General features: G+C 41.6%; 1 long non-coding RNA gene and 1 pseudogene across 1 annotated transcript in view, besides 2 other annotated features; one reads left to right on the top strand and one right to left on the bottom strand.

The window, feature by feature from the left end:
- Positions 1-20,802, top strand: part of LOC105370176 (uncharacterized) — a 39,040-nt gene that overhangs the window by 6,695 nt on the left and 11,543 nt on the right. Inside the window, exon 2 of the long non-coding RNA XR_941905.3 lies at positions 5,450-5,602. This is a non-coding gene — a long non-coding RNA (uncharacterized LOC105370176). The remainder of the gene's footprint in view (positions 1-5,449; positions 5,603-20,802) is intronic.
- On the bottom strand, positions 3,548-3,752 carry RPS28P8 (ribosomal protein S28 pseudogene 8; annotated as a pseudogene).
- Positions 4,871-5,371: an enhancer, noted in NCBI's record as "H3K4me1 hESC enhancer chr13:42575949-42576449 (GRCh37/hg19 assembly coordinates)". NCBI's record gives its function as "activates a minimal SCP1, AML or CMV promoter by ChIP-STARR-seq in naive H9 embryonic stem cells {active_cell/tissue: H9 hESC(naive)}" and the evidence as "EXISTENCE:reporter gene assay evidence [ECO:0000049][PMID:30033119]".
- Positions 5,372-5,872: an enhancer, noted in NCBI's record as "H3K4me1 hESC enhancer chr13:42575448-42575948 (GRCh37/hg19 assembly coordinates)". NCBI's record gives its function as "activates a minimal SCP1, AML or CMV promoter by ChIP-STARR-seq in naive H9 embryonic stem cells {active_cell/tissue: H9 hESC(naive)}" and the evidence as "EXISTENCE:reporter gene assay evidence [ECO:0000049][PMID:30033119]".

The following is a 20,802-nucleotide window of genomic DNA, read 5'->3' as shown; positions in this document are numbered from 1 at the left end:
CACTTGAGCCCAGGAGTTTGAGACCATCCTGGGCAACATGGCAAAACCCTGTCTCTACTAAAAATACAAAATAAACTAGCTAGGTAGGGTGACACATGTCTGTAGTCCCAGCTACTTGGGAGGCTGAGGTGGGAGGATCACTTGAGCCCTGGAGGCTGAGGCTGCAGTGAGCTCTGATTGTGCCACTGCCTACTCCAGCCTGGGTGACAGAGTGAGACCCCGTCTCAAGAAAAAAAAAAAAAAAAGTCTTTTTCTCTCTCTCTTTCTACCTGCTTTTACATATTTTACGTAATGTCTATTTTAATCCAGGCTCTATATCAAAGCACTGGGTATTAAATATTCAAAGATGAATAAAGTAAAGTAGCAATGATAATTCAATATAATAAATTCTATGCTCATGGTATAAACTAGAGGCTATTAGAGCATATCTTAGTTTGGGTACCCCCACCCATCTAAATTGTAGCCTAAGAAAAATATGATGTATGAGTGTTTACTTAGGTGATCATTCCAAGAATCAGAGGTGAGAGTGTGGAGGGTGAGACAGGGGATAAAAAAAGCTGATAAAGGGTGTCAGTGAGCAACTGTGGGCATCAGGGGCACAACCCCACTGGAGTCCCTCTGAAGAACTGGGTAGAACGAGCCTCAGAATCATCTCCCTGGAGGATCCACTGATTCCAGCCCCTTACTAATTGGCGGTTGCCTCTGGGGTGTATTAGCGTCCCCCACCCTTCTATGTTGCTTCTGTAACCAAGCTGAGCAGCTTCCTATGGATTCAGAGAAAGCCCAGAGGCAGCAAAGCAGAGGGAAGCTTCAGAGAGGACTGGAAGTGGGGAGTGGGCAAAGCACATGAGCCCCTTCCCAGGCAGGCCAAGAAGCTGTGGCACACAGCATCACAAGCATTGGCTACAAAGAGTATTAAGGGGCTCCTAATTTTATTTTGGAGAAGGGAGAGGAGGTTCCCCAGAGTAAACAAGCCCGAAGCTAAACCTCAAAGAGGAGTGGGCAAAGGAGAAAAGGCCTTCTAACATACAGAGGAGCTTGAGCAAAAGAGGGAGCACACTTGGAGAAGTGCGAATATTTAGGTAGGGATAATGTGCAAGAATAGAGAGAAAGAGATGAATCCAAAAGAAATTTAGGAAGTTGACTGACAAGACTTGTGTAAGGCAAATGGTGTTTTAATGGGAGAAAAGGGGAGAAAGAAGTTTCTGGTTATGGCAGTAGAGTAGGTGGATACAGAGGGAAGGATAGAAAACTTGTTTATGGGATGAGGAATATGGCAAGTTCAGCTTTGCTCATTAGATGTCTATGGTGCCTATAGAATGTACAGGTGGTAACGTCTTATAATTAGATGTCTGAAACATGAATCCATTCGATACCTGCCTTTATTCGATTTATAAAAGCACTCTGAACCTATTTAAGCACTGGGTGCATCTGGCCATGCATTAACTGTCTGTGAACTGAGGGGAGAGGTGAGGTCTAGAAACACAGATGTATCTAAACCCATTCCAAGGGGTTATCAAGGATGTAGGTGTAAGTGAGATTATGCAGAATATGTACAATGAGGAAAGAAGAGAGTTGATGACAGAGCCTTGATGTTTAAATGGCAAGTAAAGAAAGAGAACTCCAAGATGGATATTGAGAACCTGTGGTTGAAGGAGTAGAAGGAAAATCATGAGAAAGTAATAAAACGAGAACCAAGGGCAGTAAGAATGCCAGGGAGAGAGGACAACAATGCCAGCCACCATACAGAGGTCAAGGAAATTAAAAGTGAAAAGTATCTTTTGGGTTTAGGGATGGAGAATTGGTTGGGGATCACAGCATAGTGAGAGTTGCTGCTGCGATGCCACACCAGGCCGTGGGCTAGGTGCTTTGTGTCCACTCTTTCATGGAATCCTCAAGCCAGCCCTCTGAGTTGTTGCCACTGTTCTATGCAGAGTGCAACACATGAGGGGTGCAAGACACAGAAAGATTATGTCACTAGTTTAGGAAATGGTAGCGCCAGGGTTGACAGCCAGGCCATCCGATTTCTACATCCAACATTACATTATTGTCTTAGTCCATTTGGGCTACTATAATGAAATACCATAAACTGGGTAGCTTATAAACTACAGGAATTTATTTCTCACAATTCTGGAGTTTGGGAAGTCCAACATCAAGGTGTCAGCAGATTTGGTGTCTGATAAGAGCCTGCTCTCTGGTGGCCAGGCGCAGTGGCTTATGCCTGTAATCCCAGCACTTTGGGAGGCCGAGGCGGGCGGATCACAAGGTCAGGAGATCGAGACCATCCTGGCTAACACGGTGAAACCCCCGTCTCTACTAAAAATAAATACAAAAAAATTAGCCGGGCCTGGTGGCAGGCGCCTGTAGTCCCAGCTACTCAGGAGGCTGAGGCAGGAGAATGGCGTGAACTCGGGAGGCGGAGCTTGCAGTGAGCCGAGATCGTCCCACTGCACTCCAGCCTGGGTGACAGAGCAAGACTCCATCTCAAAAAAAAAAAAATAATAATAAGAGCCTGCTCTCTGGTTTATGTATGGCCACTTTCCACTGTGTCCTCACATGGTGGAAGGGGTGAGAGAAGTCACTAGATCTCTTTAATAAGGACACAGAACCATTTTGTGAGGGCTTCACCGTCATGACCTAATAATCTCCCAAAGGCCCCACCTTCAAAAACCCTCACATTAGGGATTACGTTTCAACACATGAATTCTGGGTACAGTGTTGGAGGGGACTTAAACATTCAGTCTATAGCAACTATAATACCTCATAGATACCACACCAGGAAGAAGAATATCTTTTCCATGGAGACAGGAGGGAAGAAGGTAAGGGACATGTGAAGGCAGATATTGGCTGTGTGGGAGTGGAGGAAATTTGTGCAACTCATGCCAGCCTCTATTTTCTCTGTTAAGACTTTGAGTTCCTTTTCTGTTTGTTTGTTTGTGTTTGTTGGTTTGTTTGTTTGTTTGAGACAAGTGTCACTCACTCTGTTGCCCAGGCTGGAGTGCAGTGGTGCAATTTCAGCTCACTGCAACCTCCACCTCCCAAGTTGAAGTGATTCTCCTCCGTCAGCTTCCTGAGTAGCTGAGATTACAGGCATTTGTTACCACGCCCAGCTAATTTTTGTATTTTTAGTAGAGATGGGATGTCACCATGTTGGCCAGGCTGGTCTCGAACTCCCTGCCTCAAGTGATATGCCCACCTCAGCCTCCCAAAGTGCTGGGATTACAGGCATGAGCCACTGTGCCTGGACTTTGAGTTCCTTTTCTGAGGCAAAGTAGGGCAACGTGAAGTTATGATAGGGAAACTGAGGGCAGAGGTGAAATTTCAGAATAATTGCTGGGGGAAGAAGTGGACATCTCTAAATCTGGGGCCTCAAAGCTTGTCTGCTTTTAAGAACTGTCTCTCCTCCCATGCCATCTACCCAGATGCAGTTGGATCACCCATGTTCCAATTTTCTCCTCATACAATATAAACACTTCATTTAAGAGCAACAGATATTCCATGCAGGCCAAGTGGTCGACCTATCTAAGACCAAGTAGCAGGTTCCATGTAGCCTGCAAGCCTCTAGCTCTGACCCCCAATAGGGTGAGCACATCTCCCTCCCAGCTGTGGCCTTTTATGTTCTTGATTATGGAGTAGCTCAGGAAGTCCATGAATTCCACATGCACCTGTGTGTACTGTCCCTGCTAGTCAGTCCTGCCCAGAACCTTGGTATCACTGGCCAGCTTAATGGGCTGTACATGGCTTGTGTTCATGGTAGTAGCACAGCTGTGGTTGGGCAGAGATGCTGTGTTAGAAATTGACTTACCCTTCTGATCATAGATGTTTGGTTCATCAGTGGGCATCTGATCCAAACTTAGCCAGTCCTATTTTCTTGCCTCCCAAGTCAGGGTTTATTCTGCACTAACTAGAGTCCCTCCCCAGGAAATTTGGAAGTAGAAGTGAAAAGAAAATCATCTCTCTTCTTGTGTAAAAATTGTAAATATAAAGATGGAGGATGTTGGTGACTGGAAGGTCTTAGGAGGATCAATATATAAAACCCCTGCTATATTTATTGATGTATACTAATATATTTCACATTAATATGTATTATAATAACACATTAATATGCATCCAAGCTCAGAACCAACTGAGAGATAGATGCAGGACTCAGACCATTGGAGATCAAAATGTCATATTTAATAAATGTCAAACAAGCCTGGAGATGGTAGGAGAGAATATGATATATTGACCTACTTATGTTCCACCCTTGAATTAAAGAGAATTACTCACCCAGTCATAGGCACAGCTGCACTAGTGCTGGCTCTCCCAGTAGGGGTCTGACTCTTTAAAACTCATTGCATGGGCCGGGCGTGGTGGTTCACGTCTGTAATCCCAGCACTTTGGGAGGCCGAGGCAGGTGGATCACCTGAGGTCAGGAGTTCGAGACCAGCCTGGCTAACATGGTGAAACCTCGTCTCTACTAAAAATACAAAAATTAGCCAGGCATGGTGGTGAGTGCCTGTAATCCCAGCTACTCGGGAGGCTTAGGCAGGAGAATCGCTTGAACCCGAGAGTTGAAGGGTGCAGTGAGCCGAGATCGCACCATTGCACTCCAGCCTGGGCAACAAGAGCAAAACCCTGTCTCAAAAAAAAAAAACAAACAAACAAAAAAAAAAAACCCAGAAAAACAAATACTCATTTCGCAAACAGAGAGAAGAAAGGATGCATCTCAGCCACATATATTCTGTCTCTTTCTCCAAACTCACAAATCAGCTAAATCACTCCTTCCCTGGGGAGAGGTTGAGGTGTAGGGCTGCAGAGAAAGCAGAGGATGTGCCTTGACAGAGGTGCCTGCACTTGGAAATAGGGGGAAAAGGGGGAAGAGTCCCCTCTGCCCAACGCTGATACTTTTTTACCATGTGAACCAGAGAAGCAGATGCAACTGCAGAGACAGGGAAACAGAAAAACAGAAAGACAGAGAGATAAACAAAGCAAATGAGAATTGTAGAGACAGTCCTGATAGCATTTGAGTCTCTGGTTCCAGTTCTTCCTCCTGTCTGTGGATTTTTTCCATTTTACTATGTTTCATGAATATTATAACAAAATCATCAGGCTCAGGTCTTGGCCATGTAACATACGGTGATCATATTTTCAGTGCATTTTTCTCCCAGCCATCACCAAATTGGACCATCATCAGAGCCATAGTATTGTATATTGGGGACTGTCATAGCCTGGGTTCCCCTTAAAGCAGAGCCTGAAACAAATACTGTACTTAACTTGAAGTACTTTACTGAGGAGTGTGATTCAGGAAGGAGGAATGACGGGGGAGAGCTAATACAAAGATGCACTCCTGTTTGCTCACTCCCTCTCACAGGACCGCTGGACTGCCTTGTGAAACTCAAGGCTGCCCAACCAGGGGGAAAGTGGAAAAAGCATTTATCTCATCAAGGGTTTGGCCCTGCCTTTGCAGATTGTTGCAGCCCTCAGTGTCGACAGAGAAGCCCGGGCTGGAGAGCCGGAGACGGCCATGTGCAGAGAGGCCAGGCAATGCCTGATTGTGATTGCAGGAAACTGTTGCCCACACAGAACTGGTTGCTGCAGTAGGAGCTGGAATAAGAGACAGGTGAGGCTGGGAGGATTTCAACGGGTGCCCAAGAAACATCACACACAGAGACCTTCATGATGAAATTGGTTCAACTGACTCGTAAAGAAGTAATACACTTGTCTCCTTTAAAAATATAGTACACATTTCTGTTTGGAAAGTTAATCTAAAAAATCCCAACACTTTCCTCACTCAGTTTTTAAACAAGCTCTTTTCAGAGAGGCTAAAATAAAATCATTTGTAGATTATTGTTGTAAATATCTTGGCTTTAGTTGTCTTTGATAATATACGAGGCTTCCTCTCCATTCTCCCCACCACCTCTGCCCTAACGAGTTAAGCAAAGCCTTAAGTCATTCCACATTTACAAAACAGAAGGAGTGTATCTAATAACAAACAAAAAGCCAAAAGGATTAATATAAGATCCCTGCCCTTGACACAATTGATTAATTCTATAAAATGACTAATAATATAACCAGTAGAATGCCATTTAAGACCTTCCCTCAGCCTAATGGGGGCCCAAAAGAAAGCACATAAACGGGATGTCATGGTTGGAATGTGGAGTATTTAGGATTGATCCTAGACATTCCTCCAGCAGCTTTAGCACCACAGCAATTGTGGATTCTTGCTTAAATAATGTTCCCTTTTGCTCCACTAGATGTTATTGGTTTCCTAACGTTGTTCACCTTTGGGTAGACTTCCCTTCCCTTCCCCCTTTGGATCAGCAACAATTTTTAACCAATTCTTGTATTAAATTCTCTCTGTTTGAAATACTTAGAATGGTTTTTGTTTCCTGGAATGGACACTGATAATACATATACACAGGGGTTTGTGTGTGTGTGAGCACGGGTGTATGTGTTTACAGAAGTGTATCTTGTCCAGGTACTGTGTATCCTTTCCTTTTTGCATTGGTGATATCACACTGTTCATATGATCCTGTCTCTCAATTTTTTTCAATTAATAGTACATTTTGGAAATTTTCCATATCAGTTCATATGAGCTAGCTTCCTCATTGATTCTAAGAGATGCAAAGTATTTCCCTGTTTGGATATCCCATCATTTATGTAACCAGGACTCCACAGGTGAGCATTCAATTGTTTCTAAATGTTTTGCTATTACCAACAACGCTGCAGTGAACAGCTTTGCACGTATATGTTTGCATACTTGTTCAAGTAGATTTCTAGAATGACATGGAGTTTCTGGCTTGCTCCAGTTTTAAAAACTGTTTCCAAGAAGAAGCCCCTGGTTTGTGGCCTCCTTCTAGTAAGTGGGTCACAGATTTGACTTTCCATGTGGGAGTCCTTGCCTTTTGTTTATCAGGACTCCAATCCCCCAAAGAACTGAGACTCGGCTTTGCTCTTGTTAGTTTCTTACCAGAGACTAAAATCCTGTATCTGAACCTCCTTCCAAGTACCCTGCTTCCTACCTTGCCATCTCCTAGCAGACTTCCCTGATGTCTGCTTCCATATTGAAATATTTCTGTACCTAAATTCCAATTTCCATGCTTTGCATATTGGATACCTGTTAATAAATACTGAATCTCATTGATACCATCTATATCAACTTCAATTTGTTGCCTGAATTTCTGGATAGCGCTTTATCTGCTGAATTGGATTGCTTCTATCTGTAGATGAAATTCTTGAAAACAGACAGAATTGCATATTATTCTTCTTTGTAGCCTTAGGGGCTCTGTCTTATGATAGGGGCTTGCTCCTTGCCATGATGTACTTGTGCATCTGGGAATTATCAAAGATTAGGGGAGGTAGTCCTTGTGCATGCAGAATATACTTTAATTAGAAAATGGAATTAAGGATTAGGATAGAAAAAGGAAGTAAAGAGGAGTGCAGAGATAGAGTTTCTGCAATTCTCAAGATCAAGTAGATGAAATTCGTGGTGTTTGCATCCTGCTTTCTAGTACTAGAGCCAGAGGAAAGGGAGAGCTCGAATGATTGGAGGATGGAGTATAGGAGGGTCTGAGGTTTGGTATGAAGTTACCAGGAAGGTTATTATAGCCTCTTGGTACTCTGAGATACTGAGGTTGGCTCCTGTTCCCCAAGCCAATAACTCCAGTTACACAGTCACATGCCTCTGGAACAAAACAGGAGACATTCACAAGCATCTCACTGAAACTTCAGAGGAAGAAAATCCTTAAAAGTATCTATTTAGCAAAAAGTGGTAAATGCAAAAAGCAGACCGCCAATGTTGCCAATGTGATATATAGAACATCATTGTTCCTATCATTACATAGTAAACTGCTTGTATTATTTAAAGGAATATAAAAATATCTATGAGGACTTTCATACATTCATTCCCAATTTCAGTCCTCAACATTTTAGTTTTTCCATAAAATCGTAAAGTTGCTAACTGAAAATTCTCCTGCCTGTAGTTTTTCAGGGCTCTCTAATTCCTATAGGCAGAAGGGACTAATAAACACAGGAAGTCTGCCCAGGGAAGGCAGTGGCGTTTTCTGGTGGCAGTAATGCCTGAGATGTGTCTTGAACATCAAGAGTTGAGAGTTTGTCCATCTGACGTCTGATCAGATAAAAGGGAATACTCCAGGCAAGGAAATGTCGAGAACAAAGCTATGTAAGACCAAGAGAGCAACTAAGTTCAGAAACTGCACATAGATAAGTATTGTTGAAGTATAAAATAGAAGGGGCAGTATATTCATTATCTATATTTGTATAACAAATTACCACATATTTAGTGGCTTAAAACATCACAGTTTCTGTGACTCGGGAGCCTGGCACGTTTTAACTGGGTCCTCCACTGAGGGTCTCATAAGGCTTAAAATCAAGATATTGGCATCCTCTCTTGGAGCCTCAGCTAGGGAGAAATCTTGTTTCCAAGTACCATTGGTTGTTGGCAGTTGTAGGACTTGTGGTTGTAGGACTGAGGTCTGGTTTTCTTGTTGGCTTTCAGCAGGGAACTACTCCCAGCTCAGAGAGGTCGCTCTTGGGTCCTTGCCATGTGGCTCCCTCCGGTTCAGCAATGGAGAAGAGTCCTTTCAGTGGATCCCTCTCTCGATTTGAATCTCTTTGACTTCTGCAACCAGCAGGAGAAAACTCTCTGGTTTTAAGAGGCCCGTGTGACTAGGTTAGGCTAACCTGGGTAATCTTCCTTTCTTACTGTCAACTGATGAGCAAACTTAATTCCACCTGCCATCTTAGAATTCTACCTACCACAGGCAGACTTTTGGGTAATGATGCTGAACAAGGAGCAGTTTTGGATGCCTCGTTTTGAATAGATGTTGACACTTAATGGATATCTACAAGAAAGAAAACTATATGTTAAAGGACTAAAAACTACATAAAATGAAGTCTGTTACTTAAGCAAAACTGAAGTGTTTTCCCTCAAGCAAAGGAGACAAATTCAAATTTTGAAAGTGACAAAGAGGATGGATTTGATTTATCTGTGTAGCAGCTGATGGTGAGCAGAAGTCACAAATGGAGCCAGTACAGTGCTATACAGAGAAGAATTTGAATTTTCCACATTCTTTGTGTTTTTTTTTAAATATTAATTCTTGAACCTCACCCAGATCTGTGGATCCAGAATCTCTGGGAGTAGAGCAGGTGGTCTTTAACATAGAGTCAAAACTGCCTCTTGTCTTCATGCCTCCTCCTGTTTATTATGTAGTCAACCTACCACCACCACTGCCATCACCTCCATTACCACTGCTTTGTTATTATGGGTTTCTCTTAAAGGGGACTCAAATCACAACTCAGGCAAACTTTGTAGAGTCCCTTTGAAGTAAGTTGATATAAAATATTATATGGATATAAAAAGATTAAGTGACTAGGGCTGCTTTTTTGTTTACCCACTGAAACAGGAGATTGTAGACTCATGCTACAACAGGAATGAACCTTGAAGACATTATGCTAAGTGAAATAAGCCCATCAAAAAAGGGCAAATATTGTATGATTCTATTCATATGAAGTACCTAGAGTAGTCAAATTCACAGACACAGAAAGCAGAAATGATGGCTGCCAGGGCCTGGAAGAAGGGAGAAGTGGAGTTGTTGTTTAATGGGTGAAGAGTTACAGTTTTGCAAGATGAAAAGTTCTGGAGGTGGATGTTGGTGATGGTTACACAGTAATATGGATGTACTTAATGGCTTTGACACAATACACTTAAACATGGTTAAGATGGTCAATTTTATGTTAAGTGAATCTTACCACAATTAAAACGATTTTTAAAAGGGAGATTGTATCAATGTAAAGGTATGAGAGTTCCCTAGTAAGTTTCTTTCCTTGGAGAGTCCTACTGTGTCCTCATAGAATTAAAGCACTTTCACAGAAAAAAAATTTCTCAACTCAACGATTTTAAGAACTCAGAGCTTCAGTGATAGGCCACATGCTGGAAATGAGCCTAGCTTTTAGAATACAACATATTTTAATAAATGTGTTTAGTTTATTTTATTTGTTTGGTACAGATTATTAACCACTTGACTAGATTGTGATACAGAAAGAAAACACAATCACCAGGACTTGTTTTCAACAGGCAAGTCTTCACAGAGTGATAATAGGTTATCTATAATAGAACCCTTTCATCCCCTAAAATAAATGTCCAAATAAATTAATATTAATATCAGAATGTCAAATTCCACCTACCTCCATGTTCATGTCTAGGCCCTGGGTTTGCCTTGTTCTACATATAGAATGTGGCAAGAGCTGAATGTCAAACATATTCGGAATCCAAATACTGTTGCACCTACAATGCTGTGATTTTTTCACTTCTAGAAGAGCCTCTATTTTATAGTCTATTTGTAAACTGTAGATTAATCTCTTCTTTTTCTAAACCCTTAATGCTCAAATTCTCATATGTAATATTAGTTTTGAAGATTTTTATCTCCAAAGCAACTTTTAAAATTCATGTGAGCATAGTATTTGAGGTTTCATTCTTCCAGAAGCCATCAAATTACACATATAGAGAGATTCCCTTTACTGTGCTTCCCACATTCATCTTTACAACACTCTGAAAGGTTTTTCAGTCAAGAATCTCATTTCATTGGGTTACATGTGCTCTACAATAACCTCTGTGTTTTTTTATATAACAGTAACAAAATAGCACCAGTATTTTTTTTTCAAATCATGAGCAGATCCGAGAAAGACACAAGTAAAATTTTGCACTCTTCCTTTGGGAATCCAGATCTAAAATATCTACTAAAAGTAAATTAAAAGTTTACATAAGATCCAATACGTATATAAATGATGACACTTGTTTGTTTCTGAGGCAGGCATTTAGAGACATATATTTTCTGATAATTATGTAGGCTCATGTCTAATCCTGCTGTAGCTGTAGAAGCTACTGATTATCCACCCTTAAGTCAGAAAGACTGCCGTCTATGAGTGAAGTATGATATCGTGGTTAATTGCAAAATGCTAACAGCACTACCAGAGGCCCAATTTGTCACCGCCCACGGGTCTACCTTGTGGGTTTCCAGGCCACAGTCTGCACTGCTTCTCCAACATTATCGTGAGGCTGGCCATATTTGGCTGTTATCTCTGCTGGGTGTTTGATCACCATGACTCTGCATGTGTTTGTGTGGACATGATAGAAAATTAGTCCAGGCATGAGGCACTTGAGAATGTTCTGTTCACTGACCACAAATTTTAATGAAGCATATAACCTGAACTTGGGTTCTGTTCAATTATTTGGCTCCTCAGAATTGCTTACCTTTGTGGAAGGTTGTTAGCAGTTACAATTCAGTAGTTTCTTTTTTCTTATTTTTTTCCTCCTTGGTACATGTCTAAGATACTGATTTCATTTTGGTTCTTATTGGTAACCATAATATTATAGTCTAGTTATTTCCTGCCTGATTGTGGAATGCTTTTTTTTTTTTAACAAAATTCTTCTCTTTAATATTTTCTATTTGCTACTAAGTTTAACTTTTTAAATAATATTATTTTTCCTTAGATATGTTTCTAAGAAGCCAAACTGTTACTTATTTCAAAAAACTCTGCCATATATTAAACTAAAACATTATTTTTCTTAATCTATGTGAATAAGAAATTACATTATGATCTTATTAAAGGGAAAGTGTTTCTACTAATAAATTTCAAAGGTAAAAGGAACCATTTGGAAGCATGTTAAACTGCTAGCACGACATCATATGTATTATATTATCAACAGTTCATGCTTGACAACTCAACCTGATAAGCTTGGTTGGATAACACAGCTAGTTTAACGTAAGAAATAGAGTAGGTCAGCCACATGCGGTGGCTCGTGCCTGTAATCCCAGCACTTTGGGAGGCCAAGGTGGGTGGATCATGAGGTCAAGAGTTCAAGACCAGCCTCACCAACATGGTGAAACCCCATATCTACTAAAAATACAAAAATTAGCCTGGCATGGTGGTGCGTGCCTGTAGCCCCAGCTACTCGGAAGGCTGAGGCAGAAGAATTGCTTGAACCCGGGAGGCGGAGGTTGCAGTGAGCCAAGATCTGCACTCCAGCCTGGGCAACAGAGCAAGACTCCATCTCAAAAAAAAAAAAAAAAAGAAAGAAAAACAAATAGAGTAGGTCAACCTTTCCCAAAATATATATGCCATAGAACCCCAGTTCTATAAGATATTCACAGGCATTATGCCTCAAAATGTTCTTGTATTCAAAAAATTTTGGAAGCAGTGAGTTAAAGTAAACAAGCTTATTTACAGTATGACTTTTAAGAATCTTTCAAATGCCAGTGTGCACTGTGGAGCTCTAAGAGTCAGATAATAGCATGCAACATCTCCAACGTCTGTGTGTGTGTTTCAGAAAATCTGATAGGACTGGTATTCTTTAAAACACACTTGGAGAAATACTGAAATACCAGAGGAACTCTTGACCTAGAGAATAGTCTGACATGGTATACATTTGTTGATACAATTTCCTAAAATTTTGTAGTGGCTTTCTAGGGGTCATGCTGAAAAACTCTGTAAAAAGTCTTGAGGTCCTAAACTGTCCATTTAATTAGTTAGCTTCATGTCATTATTTATTTATTTATTAGAGACAGGTCTTGCTCTATTGCCCTGGAGTGCAACAGGCTGGAGTGGAGTGGCATGATCATAGCTCACTGCAACCTCAAACTCCTGGCCTCAAGCAATCCTCCCACCTTGGCCTCCCAAAGCACTAGGATTACAGGTATGAGCCACCATGCCTGGCCTTCATGCCATTATTTAGATAAAGACAGGGTCTGACTCCATTGCCCTGGAGTGCAACAGACTGGAGTGGAGTGACATGATCATAGCTCACTACAACCTCAAACTCCTGGCCTCAAGCAATCCTCCCACCTCGGCCTCCCAAAGCACTAGGATTACAGGTATGAGCCACCACGCCTGGCCTTCATGCCATTATTTAGATAAAGGCAGGTGAGACATGAAGATGTGTAGCCCATTTTGGGGTGGGGACACCCTAAAAGTCTATTAGTCAGACTTCATGTTATTTGCAGCTGGGACGCCTTCCTGACTGTATCAACATTCTGTCTTGCTTGGGAAAGGGCCACTGTGGAAATAATACACCTATGTAGCAGGTAGACTGAAATCAGATGTGTCTAAACATTTTTTTGGCAAAACAGTGGGATGAACTTTCCAGAGGCACATTTTCCTAAGCCCTGAAAAGCCTCTTGGAGAAAACTCATCCTGGAGAAAGCGGATGCTAGACGTTATAAGAGTTGGACTCAGTAAGAAAATGTTGGTAGTTGGAGGAGGAGGGAATCTTATGGAAACAACATTGATATCAATATTAAATGTCAAGTCCTAATATTCAAATTTGTTTCCTGACCCAGACAGAACCCACTGGACTTATATTAGGTAATTGGGAAGAGGGGGTCTGTAAAGGAAATATTAAAGGAGATACTTAACTTTGTATAACTCACAGGACTAGATCGGCTTTCCACCTCCTCTAAGAGTGTTACACATAAGAAGCCCCTGCTTTGTAACAGAACAGTATAAACTTTTGGCACCTCAAAAACTCTGTGCATCAGCTGTCTTGGGAGGTGCTGAAGCCCCAGGAAGCTGGTGGATGCCAAGTGTGAGGTGGTGGTACCCAGTGGAGAAAGGTTTGCAAGGGCATAAAAGACATTCTATGAGGACTCACAGAAGTATCTGAAGGAACCTTTGCAGGGGGACTCATAGGTAGGCTGGTTGGGGCAGAAGTTCATTTATCCAAAGGAGTTGGGTAACTGCCATTAACGTAACCCCATTGATACCTACAGGTCTATGGTAATTTATGATACAGAATGTGCAGAAGTGTTAGCCACACACTCAGCTTTTGCCCTTTCATACTAGCGTCCACTGGGCAGGGATCTTCAGGGCCAAGAGCTAAAACACTTAGCTGGACTTGTGACAGAACTTCAGAAGCATCTTCTACTCTCATGTGCATTCTCTATACTTTCTGTCTTGCAGCATAAGGCACAGGCTGTATGTGCCATCTTAGGCGACATCTTTGATTCTAGAATTTCAAGAGGAAATAGAGTAAGGCCAAAGAGAGTGGGATTTAGATGTTTGCTGTTTAGAGCTGGTCACAGGCTTAGGAAGACATACACTGCTTCTGAAGGTATCTGTGTTCTCCAGTCCAGTGCAACAGGATAGGAAAGCAGATAAAGATGCAAGAAGGAAACTCTAGCAAAGTGTGTGTTTGGCTAGAATAACTCTGTGCATTTTATTTCTTGTAAACCATAGTACAGCAATAAGCAATAGACAGGATTTGGATTTACCTAATCTAAATTATTGGGGAAACAATAATATAAACTCAGAATCTAAAGGGAGAAAAACTGCAATTGATTTCTCCCTCCTTCTGATCCCTCCTCCTACCTGCCCCCAGCCCACACACAGAAGCCATTCCTGAGCATTCATCTGCCCAACTCAGGAGTTGAGCCTCTTTAAAAGGAGGGAGGGGGACAGACTTTGTGGGGAAGATCAAGAGCTATAAAGAGAAGCCCAGGGCCTTGAGACTCTTGGTCCTGCATTTGCTAGCTGCCTAAATGTGGGTAAGTCATCCTGTCTTTAATTCTTAGTTCCCTCATTTGTCAAATGCTGCACTATCTACCTCAGAAGGATATTGTGAGGAACAAATAAGATATATGCACAATAGAGCACTTTGTAAACAGTAAAGTGCTGCATGGATGTTTTGCCTGTATTATACGTGCAGAGTATGGTAGCATCTGAACAGAGTATGTAGAAGAGACCAGAATTTAGAGTACTGCTAGGTGATTCTGGCAGGGATCATGATCAGAAAGACCATGGATGAGGCCAGAGAAATGCTCAGGATTGGAAGGATGAGCTGGATATTGAGACTCAGGAAGGCTACACATTGAGTGAAGGGCAGGGATGTCTTAAGCAGGGTGGAATCAATCATATTTTTATCCTGCAAAGAACGTATTGGTTCAAGAAGAGAACAAATATTGTATGATTTCACATATATGAGCTACCTAGACTAGGCAAATTAATTGAGACAGAAAGTGGCATAGAGGTGACCAGGGGCTGGGGTGAAGGGGAAATGGAAAGTTAATGTTTAATGGATACAGAGTTTCTGCCTGGGACAATGAAAACTCTGGAAATGGATAGTGGTGATGATCATGCAACATTGTGAATGCACTTATGACACTGAATTATACACTTAACAATGGTTAAAATGGTAAATTTTATGTTATGCCTTTTTTTTTTTTTTTTTTTTTTTTTTGGCAGAGTCTCACTCTGTCACCCAGGCTGGAGCGCAGTGGCGCAATCTCTGCTCACTGCAACCTCTGCCTCCCGGGTTCAAGCAATTCTCCTGCCTCAGCCTCTCGAGTAACTGGGACTACAGGCACATACCGCCACACCTGGCTAAGTTTTTTGTATTTTAGTAGAGATGGGGTTTCACCGTGTTGCCCAGGCTGATGGCGAACTCCTGAGCTCAGGCAGTCTGCCTGCCTCAGCCTCCCAAAGTGCTGGGATTACAGGCATGAGCCACTTCACCAAGCCCATATTTTAAGACCCCTCAGAAATACTGGTTCAGAACTCAACATTTCAAAATTTCTAACATGTAAAAGCAATAATAGTATGATAGCTATGAGCCAGGGCTGTAGAAATACACAGAATTGGGTCCAGGGTCTTCCATCATCTAGCTATGTGAAGAACCTTATCAAAGCTACATAGGCTGGGTGTGGTGGCTCACACCTGTAATCCCAGCACTTTGGGAAGCTGAGGTGGGTGGATTGCTTGAGCCCAGGAGTTCAAGAGCAGCCTGGGCAACATGGCAAGACCCTGTCTCTACAAAAAAATACAAAAAATAGCTGGGCATGGTGGCATGAACCTGTAGTCCTAGCTACTTGAGAGGCTGAGCTGGAAGGATCGCTTGAGCCAGGGAAGTTGAAGCTACAGTGAGCTGTGATCACACCACTGCACTCCAGCCTGGATGACAGAGTGAGACACTGTATAAAAATAAAAATTAAAATTAAAAAATCTTAAAAAGCTGCATGTTAGTGTCTGTAAAATGGATATACAAACAGATCCTGGCTCCCAAGTAATTTGAGGGTTAACATAATGTAGCAGAATCCCTACAACATAGTAGGTGCTCAATAAAAATTCACTGGTAGCAACAATGGTAGTGAATAGAAGACCCTGTTCATATTTATGTGCTGTGTGTAGGCAGACAGGGCTCACAAGTCTGAGCTTGCCCCAGATGAAAAGGTAGAGTTGAAAATTTGCAATTGCTCCTGACTAAAGTGAGAGCAGAGGGCATAAGCTCCCCAGGATGCTCTTGGAGAAGGGAATAAATAGAGAAGATGGTTGAGGCCTGCAGCTGGGAGTCAAGGATAATAGAGAGTGGTTTGCTCCTAAGTAGGGGATTCAGGTGGCTAAAAGAAGATAAGGAGGACCTCTTTGTCCTGTTGCTTCCAATATTTCACTTTGGGTGCTTTTAAATGTTTTATGGAAATAAAGAGGAGGGAGGAGGAGAGGGATAGAGGGAAGCTTCCCGTCTTAGTCTATTTGCTGACACACACACAGGACCTTCTTATACATCTGATGACGTTTACCAACTCTACTGGGACGGCAGCTCTGACAGGAGGGTGGGCTTCTCTCTATTTGAATGGAGCTCCCCAGAGAGCACACATAGGACACAAAACCCTTTATTCTGCTTCAGGAGGGTAACTGGAGCTGATGAGGAGAAGTTAGATTGGAAAATGGAAATGAATTTAGTTAAGTATTTAAAAAATGTTTCTGCCCAGAAATAAAATGAAATCTGTGTTTTTCAGTCCACTAAATAATAGCTTTCCTTTTTCCTTTAGCAGATTTCTATGTCTAGAATTCACATATGATCACTGATTTTAAAAGACACATTTTACTTGCCAAATAGAAGTGAGAAGAAGCACCCTTCTCCCAATGCTTTCCTCGGAGCTGCAGCCACTATGTCTTCGCCAGTCAATGGGGTGGCTGTGTTGGACCTTTTGATGAATGGCCAACCTATTTTTCCAAAGTAGTTGTACCATTTTGCATTCTACCAGTGATGTAAGAAAGTTCTAATTTCTCCACATTCTAGCCAAGACTTGTTACTGTCTTTTTTTTTTTTTTTTTTTGATGGAGTTTCACTCTTGTTGCCCAGGCTGGAGTACAGTGGCACGATCTCGGCTCACTGCAACCTCCACCTCCCGGGTCAAGCAATTCTCCTGCCTCAGCCTCCTGAGTAGCTGGGATTAGAGGCGCCTGCCACCACACCCAGCTAATTTTTTGTATTTTTAGTAGGGATGGGGTTTCGCCACGTTGGGCAGGCTGATCTCAAACTCCTGACCTCAGGTGATCCTCCCACCTTGTCCTCCCAAAGTGCTGGGATTACAGGCAGGAGCCACCGCGCCCGGCCTGTCATCTTTTTTATTATAGCCATTCTACTAATATAAAGTGGTATCTCAATATGGCTTTGATTTACATTTCCCTAATGACTAATGATGTTGAGTGTCTTTTCATGTTTATTGACCTTAGGTCTTTTTTTTGTTTCGGAGAAATGTCAATTCAAGTTCTTTGTCCATTTTTAAATTGGATTTTTTTTTAACCTTAAGTTGTAAGAACTCTTCCTATATTCTGGATGCAAGTATCTTAGTGGACATGGGATTTACAAATATATTCTCCCATCATGTTGGTTGTCTTTTCACTTTCTTACACGTATATTTTAAAGCAAGAATTGAGTATAACTTTACACATCACATTTAAGAGTATCATCATTCATGAATTAGGTGAGGTGGAGAAAAAGTTGAAAGCCATAAAAAATGGCTGATGAGAGTGTCAGTGTTTAACCTGGAAAGGAGAAAAATAAGGAGATATGTACCTCAATATTTAAATATAAAGCACTGCCATGCAGAACAGAGAAGGCATGATATGAGTGACTCCAAAAGGGAAAACTGGTACCAAATGGAAGTTCTAGAGCAGATTTGGATTCAAATTAAGTGATTTTCTTAATCTTAGAGTTTTTTTTTTTTTTAATGAAAGTGAGCTTTCATAAGAGCTCTCTACAATAGAAGCATTCAAGCAAAAACTAAATGCAAAAACCAAATTATATATCTCAACAATGTGGCTGGAGAGAATCTGCACTCTATAGGAAGTTAAACTAGACAATCTCCTGATTTTCCTTCTGTCTAAATTCTTTTTTTTTTTTTTCTTGAGATGAGGTCTCCCTCTGTTGCCCAGGCTAGAGTGCAGTGGTATGATCTCTTCTCACTACAACCTCCACCTCCCAGGTTCAAGCAATTCTCCTGCTTCAGCCTCCCGAGTAGCTGGGATTACAGGCACCCGCCACCATGCCTGGCTAATTGTTGTATTTTTAGAGACGGGGTTTTACCCTGTTGGCCAGGCTGGTCTCAAACTCCTGACCTCAAATGATCCACCCGCCTCGCCGCCCAAAGAGCTGGGATTACAGGCATGAGCCACTACGCCTGGCCCTTCTGTCTAAATTCTATGCTTCTATTACATTACACATTTTCAAAAAAGATAGCGTTGGTCAATATACAAAGTTTTTTTTCACTTAATCAAGCTGTTAGAATTTTGAATAGTCATGTTAAGTTATATTAAAAAGTAACTATTTCAAGGGAAAAAATTGGTAGAAACCATTCTAGAAATACTGCTCTAAACTAACAAAGTATAAAGGTTTTAGTATCCCAGTAAAAACAATGTTACATAACTAATAATGAAGCATTTCATAGTACAACTGTTCCTATCATGTGTTAATAAATAACTCAAACAAAAATAAACATGAATCTTGCCCATTTAACTTCAATTTTTCTCTTTCAGCTATAGAGGTTAGATCCAAATATCTTCATAGAGCAATATTACTCCATTCTCCTTCTGTGGTTATGGCAGGTAGAAGGAAATTGCTAAATTGTTCACACAGCATAATAGCCAGAGAATACAATTTCTAGAAAACATTGGTTAAACTATTTCCTGGCCCATGGTACAGAGAATAAAAGAAAAATTCCTTCAGACACAGAGCTTAATGTAAAGAGCTTGAAGCACAAAAAAAGGCCAGTAAAATCATTGTTCATTTCCCTTAGAAAATATACAAAGCCTAGAAATAAAGTCCAAGAGAAAATTGAACATGAAAAAGAAATCCAAGGATAATTATTCTTACTACTATAAAGCTGGCTTAGCAATAACCACTCAGTCACTTGCTCAGGGCAGCTGAGAATTTACACCAGATGAAGGAATAATAAGGAATTTTGGCTGGGCATGGCAGCTCATGTGTGTAATCCCAGCACTTTGGGAGGCCGAGGCAGGTGGATCACCTGAGGTCAGGTGTTTGAGACCAGCCTGGCCAACATGTTGAAACCCCATCTCTACTAAAAATAAAAAAAATTAGCCGGGCTTAGTGGCAGGCACCTGTAATCCCAGCTACTTGGGAGGCTGAGGCAGGAGAATTGCTTGAACTTGGGAGGCAGAGGTTGCGGTGAGCCAAGATCGCACCATTGCACTCCAGCCTGGGTGACAGAGTGAGAGTCTGTCTCAAAAAAAAAATAAATAAAATACAAAGTAAGGATTTCTGACTATTTTATTCTTATGGGAAGCATTGACTGGTTGAAACAAAAGCAAAAATTAGTAAGTGTTTTAAATTTATTTTCATTTTTGCATAAGAAATATCTGGGGACAGGAAAAAATAAAAATTAAGGGACTCAATAAGAAAGAAAAGAAGATCCAAAAACAGAGTGTGAGCTACTACAGATCATTTCCATGGCTTAGAAGGAGATTCACCATGTATGTTAAAATGCACAACAAAAATAGAAATAGTAAGATGAAGTCAGAAAGAAAAGTTGTCATAATCATGCAAAGTAATTAAAAATAACAGACAAATGCAGCAGTACTCATTACAAATTGATCAGAGGGGAAAAAAAAATTTTAAAAAAATACTTACATGTAAGAAAATATTTGTTGTAGGAAATATTGATTTGGAGGAGAAAGCCCAGATAGTAGAAGAAGAGTTACATGAATCAGAAAAGAGCGCAGGCCGGGCGCGGTGGCTCACACCTGTAATCCCAGCACTTTGGGAGGCCAAGGTGGGCGGATCCTCTGGGAGTGACCACTCCTAACCTCTCTCCTTGCCTGCCTCCTTTTGGCAGGGTGTGTCATCAGTTGGGTCCTCAGGGAAGCAGACGTAGGAAGTTGAGAGTGCAAAAGATTTACTGGAGAATAAGACCTCTTATTCCCACCTCTTATCCCACCTCCAGTGGGAATAAAAGGGAAGAGCTGGGATTGGCTAGGAGAGCCATCTTACTGAGATGCAGACCTAACAAAGTCTCTTCTGCCCAGCAGGAACTCCAGATCAAAGCTTGTCTTGAGAGGAGCCCACCTTTGGGCAGAAAGGGCTAGACCCTTGGACCACAGTCTTTCTTAGTCATGGGCTAAGGCTACCTAGAGAAGAGAAGGAAGTGCATGACCTTGACTCAAAAGCTGAGGTGGACCTGCAGAACTGAATAGTTGGAGGTTGTCAGCTAACCATATTCCTCGTAGCTGGGCATGAGTCTTCCTTAGCTGGAGTTCTGAATGCTACACATTCCCATGTCTGCCACACAGTTCAATGCCTCTAGGTATTCACTCCAAATCATCAGACATGCCTCAGCATCACTTTGCCCCACCATTTCAGCCAAACTGACCCCCGACCCAAAAGAAGAAAGTCTGAGGCCTGATTTTTGTATCCTCAAGTCTTCCTCCAATACTGACCTCTCCCTCTCCCCACGATGACTCACCATGAGAATGTCCATGCCATTCAGAGGAAACCCTAATGCCACC

The sequence above is a fragment of the Homo sapiens genome, chromosome 13 (assembly GCF_000001405.40).
Source record: "Homo sapiens chromosome 13, GRCh38.p14 Primary Assembly".
Lineage (NCBI taxonomy): Eukaryota > Metazoa > Chordata > Mammalia > Primates > Hominidae > Homo > Homo sapiens.
This window is presented reverse-complemented; position numbering and strand designations above follow the sequence as displayed.